The 12,518-nt window shown below is 37.1% G+C and overlaps 1 protein-coding gene across 7 annotated transcripts in view; it reads left to right on the forward strand.

Moving 5' to 3' along the window:
- The window catches only part of PELI2 (pellino E3 ubiquitin protein ligase family member 2), a 183,114-nt gene that overhangs the window by 62,953 nt on the left and 107,643 nt on the right, over nt 1–12,518 (forward strand). The window contains exon 1 of one of the 7 annotated variants that reach the window (XM_047431612.1): nt 1–12,518. This exon is cut by the window's right edge and continues 31,488 nt beyond it. The exons of the other annotated variants lie outside the window; for them this stretch is intronic. The gene's annotated coding sequence lies outside the window, so the exon portion shown is untranslated. 7 annotated transcript variants of the gene reach the window in all.

A 12,518-nucleotide genomic window follows, 5' to 3' on the forward strand; every position in this document is an offset into this window, starting at 1 on the left:
GTCTTTATTACTCACCCCATGCCCCTTAAGAATGCCAGTAAATGTCATGGTACTTGGCAGACACTGGCCTGAAATGACAGTGGTTTGTGTACCCTGAGATTTTTGATGCTGCAGTATTGGTAATGAAAGTTCATCTTTGATTGTAGTTGGGAAAGTGGGACCTAGAAGGGTAGGTGTGGTTATTCATTGCTAGGATTTAAGCTCTTTGCCTTTTGGCTGTCTTGTTTCTTCCCTCCACCACAACAATCATTCTCTCTGCCCACATTCTGGGGGCAGAACAGGGATATCCCTTTGCTGGTGGTCGTGGCAGCTGGGAAACAGGACCTCTTAGTTTTCCATGCATGTCTATATCCAGGCTAAGTCAAATGAGGATGGCAAGTGCGTGCTACTGTTGTGTAATCTCTATTTGTGTAGTGTTTATTCATGTATGTATTTGCTCTTAGAATAATACTCAGAGGTATTTCTCTGATTATGTAATGTGTGTGTGTGTGTGTGTGTGTGTGTGTGTGTTTTTAAATTAAAAGTCCTGTTTTACTTCTGGCCATTCTGTTGCATAGGCATAGGGCTTTTAGCAATTTATTCACCCATCCATTTATTCAACAAATATTTATTCAGCACCTTCCATGGCCAGGCATCATGCCAGGTATTGGATATTCTGCTGTGAACAAACACATCCACATGGAGCTAAATGTCTAGTGAGTAGGCAAACGAGAAAGAATCATGGGATATACATTCAACTGCGCATTGTGGAAAGTGCTAAGAGGAAGGGGGCACAGAGTTTAGACAAGGTACAAGGAAGGACCTCTAAAAAAGTGGTGCGAGAGCTGTGAGCTGGAGAGGAGAGAGGAGTTGACCAAAAAAGCAGAGATCCAGGGGTCTTGTGGGTCTGGCTGGAAAATTTGGATTTTTAAATAAGGGGAAATATTGAAGGGTGTGAAGCAGAGGGAGTGACATGATGTGACTGAGAAATCAAGTCAGTTTATGTGTTCGTTTACTTTTTTATGATATGGGACAACTATTTTGCTCTTACTTAACCAGTAAATAGTATGATGGTGGTGGTGGTGACGGTGTGGATACTGGTGCCTAATAGGAAATATTTTGTTAGCTGCATGTTTTAAATTTAGCAACATTACTATGGAAAACTCTTCATGATGGTTTTCCCTTCTCAGATTATGCTTTATTGAAATGTCCTTTTTTGGATATTTTACTTTTAAAAAGTAACTGAAAATCACTTTATTCCAGCTGGCCTATTTCCGAATGGAAAATATTAGTGGTCTTTGATAGTTTAGAGAAACATGAGGGCCATTTAATGTCATTGCTACAACCAGGCTGCTCTTCACCGTGTTTGGGCTGCTGTGGCTCTACTGGTTGATAAAATATTGAAACACTTTCTTATCAGTTGATGAATAATACAACAGTAACCGTGAGAAGTGGTAAAACTAACAATATAATTTTCAACATAAACTCATTCACCCTAGCTGATTTTGTAGGATGTGCTGGGGTCCACTTTGGAAGCGCTCACTGTCTGTCTGCCGAGCCTGTGTCTCATGGCAGTGAGTGGCGTTGATCTCCTGCACGTTCATGATGGAGCTGGGGCCTCGGTGCTTCGGGAGAGTCATCACCTTATCATCAGCCTCAGACTTTTGCATTGCTCCTGCTTTTAATAACTGAGTTTTAAATAGGTCTTTCTTTGGTTTCTTTCATTGTTACTGCATTATAACTCTTGGATTGGTCGTGTGTGGTGTTTCATACTTAGAAGTTCAATAATTAATTTGTTGAGTATTTTATTTTAAATAAAGAGGCAATGAAGTTTGGGAAGGTTTTCTTTTTTTAGATGTCATAAACATGAATATTCTGAATCTCTGAGAGAAGAAAAAAATAACAGTAATAAAACACAGTTAAGAATATCTTTAATACTGTGCAGGAATATAAACCTGAAACAAATGATTTGTAGGTCTAGAATCAAGAACAATTTGATTATTTCAACAAAAAATAATAAACATAAATCATTTTCCAAAAAATTGAAATAACAACATCGAAAAACATTTTATCTGAGAGTTTTGACAAGGCAAAGGAAAAAAAATTTACGAAGTATCAATATAATATACTGTATAGTTTAAAATAATTTTCTGACATTAAGTATTTATTAGGACTTCAAGAATTGTTTTTATGTGAATGTAGCATGGAAGTTTGGGTTTATGGTCCTGATCGTTGCAAAACATATATCTACTGAGATGCAAAAATGCATTTTGGAGAACTTATAAATCAGGAAGGTAAAATTTCAGTCATTATTGACATGGCTCCAACAATTTCACATAGAAATGTTTTAATAATTTACTTAAAATGCAATATTCAAGACTTCAAAGACAGTGTGATGGTTTTTATTGATTTCATGAAGCTGGAAGGAACAACATCTGAAATATATTAAACTTTATTAGTCATACTCAAGAAAAATGGTTTCAATGAGAAATACTTACATGAAAACCTTGTGAATGTTTCACAGATGGTGCAAGTATAGTGTTAGGGAGAAAAAGTTGTCTTAGCTGAAATTCTAGAAAAACTTCTAGGTGTTTTCATTTGATGCTGTCTCACTTATATTTGGTTATCTCTGGATGATGCAATAGGAAGATAAGCCAAGTAAACCACTTAACTTTTTTTTTGGAAATTTTACATTTATCTTGTATCAAATAAATACTAGAGAATTAAATAACATATTTGAGACCTTGGAATTGAGATGACTGTTTGGACCTTTAACGGTCAGCCGAAGATGGGAATATTCATGTTAATGGACATTGTTAAAATAGCATTTGGACAATTTTTTTAGCAGTTTGGCTCTATTACATGATATACTAACCAATGTGAATTTTTCCATGGTTTTAGAAAAAAGAAAAATTTTAATTATTAAAATGGACAGATTTATTTGACAAATACTAAGTGATAGAATATATAAACCAAATACAGGAAACTGTGATGGAGAAGAAGGTATTAGAGGAACAAACAAATTTGAAATGAAACAAAATATTAATTCCAAGGGAAAAACTCTTACATTGCCTGGCAAATTAAAAGAAAATGCACTTATTTGGTGACAAATCTAAGGAATACAATTAAATTTTAATAACATCCTTTTAATTTATTGATTCTGAGAACTTGGCTAATTGTTGTTTTCAAAGCACCATAGATTGAAGGCAAACAAAATTTTGTATAATTAAGCCAGAAATGAAACAGAACAATCCAATAAATAAGGGATTTTCATAAGGCTTGGATGGTAATAGAAATAGTGAATATAAAATCTCAGTATTATTAGGGCTGAAAAAATAGAATTTAACTAATATTAGTTCAGTAGAAGGTAATGGAAGATTTACTATGAGCAGTATTATGTGATGGGAAAATCTGTATATATTAAGACTTGGTTTGCCCATTGTTTTAAATTAAATGGGGGAAATTATTGAAAGAATTTGGTTTCGTATATCAATCACAGCTCATATATTGCTTAGCTTGTGACAGATACATCAAATAAAAAGATCATACCAGTAATTTGTAACAATTAACAGATGACTTGGAAATGAGTCACATGATTTGATGAATGGTTGCTGTTAGAACTTACTTCACCTGGGATACGGTTTCATAAAATGTGTAATTCATATTATTTAGAGAACAAATGGAATATTTTACAATTTTTTATTTATATGGCTATTTTTTTATTAAAAGGCTGGTTGTTAAATAATATCACTCCTGACATGAATAACTTTAATAAGTATATCTGTGATTAGGTGATTATCCTATTATATGTTTTACATAGAGTGAGTTTTAGATCAAGAATTGGCTGTTACTAACCCTCTATTACATTTCCATTAATTTTGACTAATCAGTACTTTTCTGTAAAATTTGATTAATCAATACTTTTATGTTTTTATGTAGTTCTTTTGGTAATTCTGTCGTTGCAAATAATGTAAGTATAGTAATTTGTGAGCTGTTCTTTTTCCTTCTTATTTTTGGTTTAGTTTTTCACTTCTGTTACTCACAAAGCAAACATTAGGCTCTCTTATTTAAATACATTTTCTTTCAAACCACCTAAGTAAAATGTTGAGCTTTTTGCTGCTGTATTTAAGCCAGGCAGTGTTACTTTCACTGATTTAAGATCTGAAGCAGCATACCTACTTATCATCATTTCATTATACAGATTTGTGTAAGAGTGTTTAAAGTAGGTTTTAAGATACAGTATGTTTAAAATTAAAATTTGAGGTATGATTTGCAGTGTCCACTGAATACTTCAAGAAAGTAGAAGAGTTGCTTCATTATATCACAGTTTTGTTAGTTTCAGCAATTAATCTAGTTTGACATTAGCATTTTTGTTTTTCTGTAATCTTTTTTTTTCTAGCATATGTAGTTTCATCTTTTCAAGGACCAACAACTAATTTTGTGTGTATGTATTGATACTTAACATAAATTGCTGCTTTGCTGTGTGGTCTGGGTAGAATTATTCATTGTTTTCTAGCAAAAAGGGACATTTGTCTCTTTTTTCCTGCATGTATTATGTGGTTGGGAGAATAATTTCTGTCCCCATTCTCCCAAGATGCTCATACATTAATCACTGGAATCTGTGAATATATTACCTTACATGGCAAAAGGGATTTTGCAGGTGGAATTAAGGTCATGAGACTTAAAATAGGGAGATTATCCTGGATTATCTGGGTGGGCCCATTGTAATCACAAGCATCCTTAATAGTGAAAGGGGAATGGAGAAGACTCATGAGATGTGAGGGAAGAAGGAGCAGGAGAGATTTGGAGCATGAGAGGGACTCCACCTGCTGCTTCTGGATCTGAAGAAGAGGGGACTATGAGCCAAGGAGTGCAGGTGGCTTCTAGAAGCTGAGAACAGCCCTGGCAGCTGTCCAGCAAGGAAACAAGGGCTTCAGTCCTGTAATCACATGGAACTCAATCCTGCCAGGTCCCTGAATGTCCCTGAAAACAGATTATTCCCTAGAACCTCCATAGATGCTGCCCTGTCAGCCCCTTGATTTTGGCCTTGTAAGACTCAGGCAGAGAAATCAGCCAAGCCTGCTGAACTTCTGGCAAACAGATCTGTGACATAATACATTAGTGTTGTTTTTAGCTGCTAAGTTTTGTGGTAATTTGTTATAACCACAAGAGAAAACTTATACATACTATTTTATGGAAAATCAAATGCAAAATACCTCACATTACTGAGCAGCTCTTAATCTCGTGGTGGGGGAAATGAAAGGTTGGGGAAGAGATGAAAGAATTGAGAGGCAGGGAATGAGGTTTTTTGTTTCTTTTAAAATTCTTTTGGATGGAGCATTAGAGCAGGAAAGCTTGACTCTAGCACTCAGTAACTTAATTATCTGTGTAATTATCTGCATTACTGATATACAGTAATTACAATTTTGACTTGATGCATGTATTCGTTGGAAAAATAATTTAATTTGTGTTGTCCTTAAAGCATAATTTTATTAGAGTTGCTTTTAACATGTCAGTGCGGAAAGAATAGTTCTATCTGCATTTATAATTATGCTTCTACTCAAACTTATTTGAATTATGACCCTGATTCAGGCACTTGCAGCCCATCTTTTCATGGAGGAAAAGAATCTTCTGCTGCAAATTAAAAAAACAAACATGGAGCATTAAAGTTCGAAGGAACTTTATTCAAACTGACTGCTCATTCAACAAATGAAGGAGTTAAAAAGTTCAAGGAAGCTCAGTATGTTGACCTAAGTCACTAAGCCAGGTGCGCTACCCAGGACCCAAGAATGTTGGTCTGTTGCTGCAGATGGCAGGTAGAAAATATTCTGAAGGATAAGACCAAAGCTGGGTTCTGCTCCTCATTTTTCCACGTTTCTATACTGTGAATTGGGAAATTTATTCATCTCCAAACTAGAATGCTGCAACCCTAAAATAAGTGAATATGATATTTGCCAATAAAAATGGAAGTTGCCTTGTAGACCTACAAGGGACAAGTTTGTACATTATTTAAGTATCAGTGTTAGGATAAGCTGTCAGTCTAAAATCAGGTGCTCTGTAGAAAGAGCCTGTTCTACAAAAGCAAAAATAATGGAGGCTTGACTTTTAAGTAGTTTGGTTGTAGGGGTAGTTATGACCGCTTGTAGTAGAGAATATATCAGGATAAGTTCTGTATAGCTGAAAAGAAGTCACAGACTTCAAGGGAGGATCATTGAGGTACCAGTGGCTGACTTGGAATGGTTGTGGCCTGTTTTGTTACACCTTTTGCTTTTCACGTTAAAGTGCGTGATTGGCCTTAACTTTTCTGAAAAAGTACTTTATCCTCTTTGAAGTCCTCCCATTGCTGACTGATTCACAGAGATACCTATTTATAAGCTCTTTGTTGATCATAACCGTGTTCCAGGGGAGGCACGAATGAGTGGCTTCAGGAAGATTTGGTTTTGTTTTATTGAAGTTAGAGGTGATGGAGGGCAGCCTAGGTTTGGGAGCTCTCAGATAGGCAGCTCCCTTCTGGTTCACACTGTGCTCATTCTGCTGCCAGGTGAGCCCTGCAGGATCGCCGTGCTCTTCTCTGTGCTCCGCAGGTGGCCACGTTTTCTCTGGCCTGTGGACCTTCGCAGGGGGCGTTGTCGTTGCCCAGGATGATCTTCAGCCTGGTGTACTAGCCCTCAATATCAGTATTCGGAAAAGTTGGCCCAGCTGCCATTTCCTCCTTGGACGTCTCCCCTCACTCCCAGCCTCAGTGAGAAGTCTTTCTGTGAACTCCTAGAATGCCTCTTGTAAATCCCCACAAGTGCTCTGACGCTGCATTGGAATTGGCTGACTTCTCGTGTCTTCCTGGACGGCAGGCTCCTTGAAGGCAGATACTATCTTTCATTTCTGTACTCCCATTGCCAAGCACACTTTGTTGAATGAGTAACCAAATAGTGTGACCTGCTTTGGGACAGTCACTTGTTCTAATGGGTCAATAACTAATGGATTGGTATTCTGCAAACCCACAGGCACATGCATAGATAGTTTATGTATCAGGTGTGCTTGGTAAATTTTGTTCAGGTTAGTTCTGGAATCTTGGATTATACTATGAATATTGCTTTCTATCCTTTTTTCCGTCTCTTATGTTACGACATTTCCCTGTATCATAAAATGACCATTGAAAACTTGGTTTTTAGCCACTGCATAGTATTTCATTATGTTAATGTATTCAGTGTGTTAACATTAAAATTTAACCCTTCTATTGTCGTTTCTAAATTTTTCTATTATAAATAGCATCATGATAAGCAGCTTTGCATAAAAACTTGTGTGTATCTCTGGTCTTTTTTCCTTCTCATTTCAGGCATAGCATTTGTTTTTGAGAGTTTTAAGATGTAATGGTTGATTATATATTTTTTAAATTATGAAAAGCAGAACTGAGTGAAAGTGTGGGCTTTCAAATGTAGATTTTTTGAATGTTTAGTTTCCCTGTTTAATATCTGTAGGCTCTTGGGCAAAAGATGCCTTTTTGTGGCTCATCTTTCACTTTATAAAATAGGGATTTAGGCTGGTCGCAGTGGCTCATGTCTGTAATCCCAGCACTTTAGAAGGCTGAGACAGGTGGATCACCTGAGGTCAGGAGTTCGAGACCAGCCTGACCAATATGGTGAAACCCCGTCTCTACTAAAAATAGAAAAATCAGCCGGGTGTGGTGGCCTGTGCCTGTAGTCCCAGCTACTGGGGAGGCTGAGACAGGAGACAGCTTGATCCCGGGTTGTGGAGGTTGCAGTGAGTCAAGATCTCGCCACTGCACTCCAGCCTGGGTGACAGAACGAAACTCTGTCTCAAAGAAAATAAAATAAAACAGGGATTTATATCAGTCAGTTGAGACCAGGTTATTGTACAGTAACAACTCTGAAATCTCAGTGAGTTGACAGCAATAAAGCATGTTTACTACTCAGTTTTTGTCCATCATGGGTTAACTTGGGGGCTGTGTTCCTTGTGGAAATTCAGGAAGCCACACTGATGGAGGTTCCATCTTGATGTATACTTCAAAGATTATGTAGGACGAGGTAAGAGAGAGAACATAGCTCTTCAAGCTTCCGCCTGGAAGTGACATGCTTTTGTTGCACTGGCTAAAGCAACTTTCATGGCTCTCTGCCTGATTTCACAGGTTGGGAATGTATAATCCCTGCTGGTAGTAATAAAGTCTGCCTCCAGCTAGTGACTCAGGATGGGAAACACCTGGAACGCATCATATGCCTACTACGTGGTAGCAGTTGATTAATGTTAGCTAATATTAATGCTGGTTTCTCTGGGAAGTATTAATGACCTGTTATAAAAGTTATACATAGGTGTAGGATATGATGAAACCTAACATTTGTACTTACTTATTGGCAGTTTAATTATATTAAAAACTTAGCTAAAATGCATTGATAGATTAAAAATTAAAACTGCATCATCATAATTTGAATATAGATTTTCTCTATAAACTTTACAATTTAAATGTATCTTTGTTTTTGTTTTTAAATCACAGCAGTGAAGGTTTAACAATGAACAGTTTCTAAATTAGTTGAATATACTAACTTTGAAAGCCAGTGCCTTTCGTCACAGGAGAATGTACTTACCAATTACAACATTTTGATAAGGCATTCTTATGTGAAAATGCATCTGATCTAAATCAGTTTTGCATTCTCTGGTCTGCTAACATTAGTTTCATTTCTTGCATTTTGAACAAAGAGTTGTGTATTTTTTTCGAATTAGAGTTGGACCTCTAAATTGAGGTTTCATATGAATAGTTATATTTAAAAAAAATCTCTTCAAGTCATTCTGTAGTACTTGATTGAAATCATGAACATGACATACCACTTCATCAGCAGTTTTTCCCAGCATTAAATTATTTTATTATTTTACTCTAGTGTCACAAATCTAAGAATGTCATTTCTAAAAATTTCTAAAATAGCATTGATAATTAAGTCTTACAAGTTAGGTAGACTGAATGTTAAATTTGGTTCTCTTAAAATGCAGAAGAATGAGAATTCTGATAAGCAGATCTTACCCAGCATTTTTTATTTTAAGAAGATTTTCTTTAAAGTACACAAAACATACATGTAGAGTTTGATGAATTTTCATAAAGTGAACACATCCATTTCTACAGTACCCAAGTCAAGTAACAGGACATTATCAATACCCTCAAAGACCCCCTTGCTCCCAGTTACTCTCCCACCCCCAAGCAGTAACAGATAACCCCCATCCTGACCAAACACCACAGATTAGTTTTGGTACTTTGTACAGTTGGATCTATAGTATAGACTTTTTGTTGCTGACTACTTTCATGTATCATTATATTTGTGAGCGAAATAACCTCTGTTGGATATCATAATTGTTCATTGCTATATAATATTCCATTGTGTGAATATTCATTCTGTTAGCCAATATGCTTTAACATTTTGATAACACTAAGACCTGTTAAGTTTTTGCAAATTATTAAAGGTATTTTAACTTAGTTTAGGATGTAAAGTCAAAAAATATGGAAGTCAATAAAAGCTACCAGTGGTCACATTTATAACTTGCAGCAATTTGAATTGTAGTTATTTGTTGCATAAGTAAAAATGTGTCCTCACTTAGAAAATTGGTTAGTCTGCTAAAACAGTAATGATTTTACAGAATTGAATATTTGGAGGATGAACTCTATGGTAAACTCTGGATTTTATTCTGAAAGGTGAGTGACAGTCCCCGATGCCACCCCTTTTGTGAAATCTGTGGTGTTCTCTAGTGTGCCCTTTCCCTACCTTGCATTGGACTTGGTCCTGACAAGTCTCTGTTCCCAGCAGATTGTGAGGTCCTGGACAGCAGGACCCACTCTTATAGGCAGGTACCCAGAGAAGAAAGGCCACATAACTGATGGAATGAATGAGCAACACCCAGCTAGGACTCTTAGAATCTGTTGCTTTTTAGGTAATTTCATGAAGTGCAAAGCAGTTTAATAACTTTTGACCAGAGACAGATGGAAGTTTTTAGTGTTACAGTAAAATTGGTTGAAATATTTTCTTCTCATTTGTGAAAGTTCATCTTTACCTAACACTCGAGTAGAATCCTCAGGTGGGAAAATGCAGTGTGGCTGACTGGCAGCAGCAATGAACCACACAGTGATACCGGGTGGAGTCCAGGCCACAAAGACTGTAACTGCTGTGGAAGGGTTGCCTGCCTGGGCACCTCAAAAGGAGAAGGGCAGCAGGTTCAGATCAGGTTGTCTGCAGCCAGCTGCTGGAAGGGTATTTGCCCAAAGGGTGTTGCTAGTACCCATGAGGAACTCCTTCCATTCCTTGCCCACCTTCTGAGCCTGTGAGATTAGACAGAGGCAGTGTAAATTCCTCTAGTGAAGTTGCTGTGCCACTAGCAACTTCAAAATCTGGCAATCTAAACTATAATTTTGAGAACTTTGTACTTGAGCTATAATACAAAATCATTTTTAGTAAGTTTTGCTCTAGTTAACTACCTTTGTTTTTGTTTTTAAAGAAAAGATTTTATTTTTATTTTTGAGACAGAGTGTCGCTCTGTCACCCAGGCTGTACTCACACTGCACACCCAGGAGTGCAGTGGTGTGATCTCGGCTCACTGCAACCTCTGTCACCCAGGGTCAAGTGATTCTTCTGCCTCAGCCTCCCAAGTAGCTGGAATTACAGGCACATGCCACCACCCCCAGCCAATTTTTGTATTTTTAGTAGAGACCGGGTTTCGCCATGTTGGCCAGGCTGGTCTTGAACTGCTGACCTCAAGTGATCCACCTGCCTCGGCCTCCCAAAGTGCTGGGATTACAGGTGTGAGCCACCGCACTTGGCCAAGATTTTTATTTTTGATTAATGAGAAGTTACTGTTGTTTTTGAAAAATGGAATAAAGTTTTTAGCACCAATTTACTGAAATTTCTTGCATTTTGTCTTTTGTTACACTGATACCTTTCTAGTGTACATTCCCTGTTCATCATTTTCTAAAGTCGAGTCGTGTTAAACTGGGTTAAAGGAGGGAAACATGAAAAGGTTTAGGAATATTATTTCTAATTAAAGGTTGAGAGTTTCTCAACCTCAGCACCATTGGCAGTTTGGGCCAGATAATCTTTGTTGTGGGGCCCGTGCTGTGCCTTTTAGGATGTTTAGCAGCATCTATGGCCTTTACCCACTCGACACCAGTACCATCTCCTGTGCCCTCGTATGATTACCAAAAGATGTCTTCAGATGTTACTGGATGTCCCCTGGAGGGCTACTGATTTAGGCTATTAAGCTCTAATTAGTATGGAATCTGGTTAATAGTACAGGCTCTGAAGTCAAATTCCTTGGATTGAAATTCTAACTCTTCTTTGGCCAAGTGACAACCACTCTGACCCGCAGTTTTCTCATCGCTCACGTTGGGGACTATAATGTTACTCAACTCATAGATTAGAATGAATGAGTTAATACATGTAAATCTTTAAGAATGGCACCTGGTGTGTTGTAAATGCTCAACAAATGTTAACCAATATTACTGTTTTTATTTGTAAGAACATTGGGTATTATAGTACATCTTTTCTTCTTATTTTTCACCATGTCACAGAATGGAGACCTAAGGGGTAATAATAAGTGAGAAAATTTCTTAACAAATTATTCTTCATTTTAAAAAGCTGCATTGCTGTATCCTCTGGCAGGCAGTGTGGCAAAGTGAATGCATATCTGACTCTTCCGACAAGTTCCTTTGCCTTCAGTAACTCTGTGCTGCTTAGCAGAAACCATTGCTTTAAATCAGGCTTTGTGGAAATAGAGGGAGATGACTTACAAATTGACTTTCAATATGGGGTTAATCCATCTTTGTTCTGGATTAAGAAAGGCTGGTCTCAGTCCTCTGAGCCTCTGTCTTCCCAGAGTTGGAGGCACATTTCAAGACCGTCTGTCCCCAGCCCAAGACAGAGGGTAGTGAGATGCCCCCAGATGGGAGTATGGGCTGGAAGAAATGCTGATTTTCTCTATTACCTCGATCAGTTGAAGCTACCTCCTCCTTGAATTTAACCCATTATCTGATTTGACAAGAATTTATTTTGCTAAAACCCTGATTGTGGCCATGATTGCTAATTTCAAAGAATAAAAAAAATGCAGGGAAGTTGGGGAGGGAAGGGCCTACAGAAGGAATAGCAGAGATTGGACAGAAGGGAAATATTGTTTCCTAAAACCTGACAATGGGAAAGGAAAAAGAGAAGAAGCTGCAAGCAAATACTTAGTCATACATACCAAAATAGACTTGAAATAATTTAAATCAGCCAAATACCTCCACTAGTGATACATGCAACTGAATTACATTGACCAGTTTATAGGTTTAAAAAATCCATATGAGTTAATCTCAAATATGTTAATGACCAATATTTTAAAATTTTATCAAGTTTCTGACTTTTAAAACACGCTTCTGATAAAGAATTGGAATTTTTAATGTAGAAAAAATGTTTTAAGTTAATGTGAGATTTTTAAAGGGAAGTCAGCCTCCTTTTTTGCCAAAATAAAGGAGTATATAATTTGCCCCAGTTATGATGCCATTTTCCTAGAATGTT

The sequence above is a fragment of the Homo sapiens genome, chromosome 14 (genome assembly GCF_000001405.40).
Source record: "Homo sapiens chromosome 14, GRCh38.p14 Primary Assembly".
Taxonomy (NCBI): domain Eukaryota; kingdom Metazoa; phylum Chordata; class Mammalia; order Primates; family Hominidae; genus Homo; species Homo sapiens.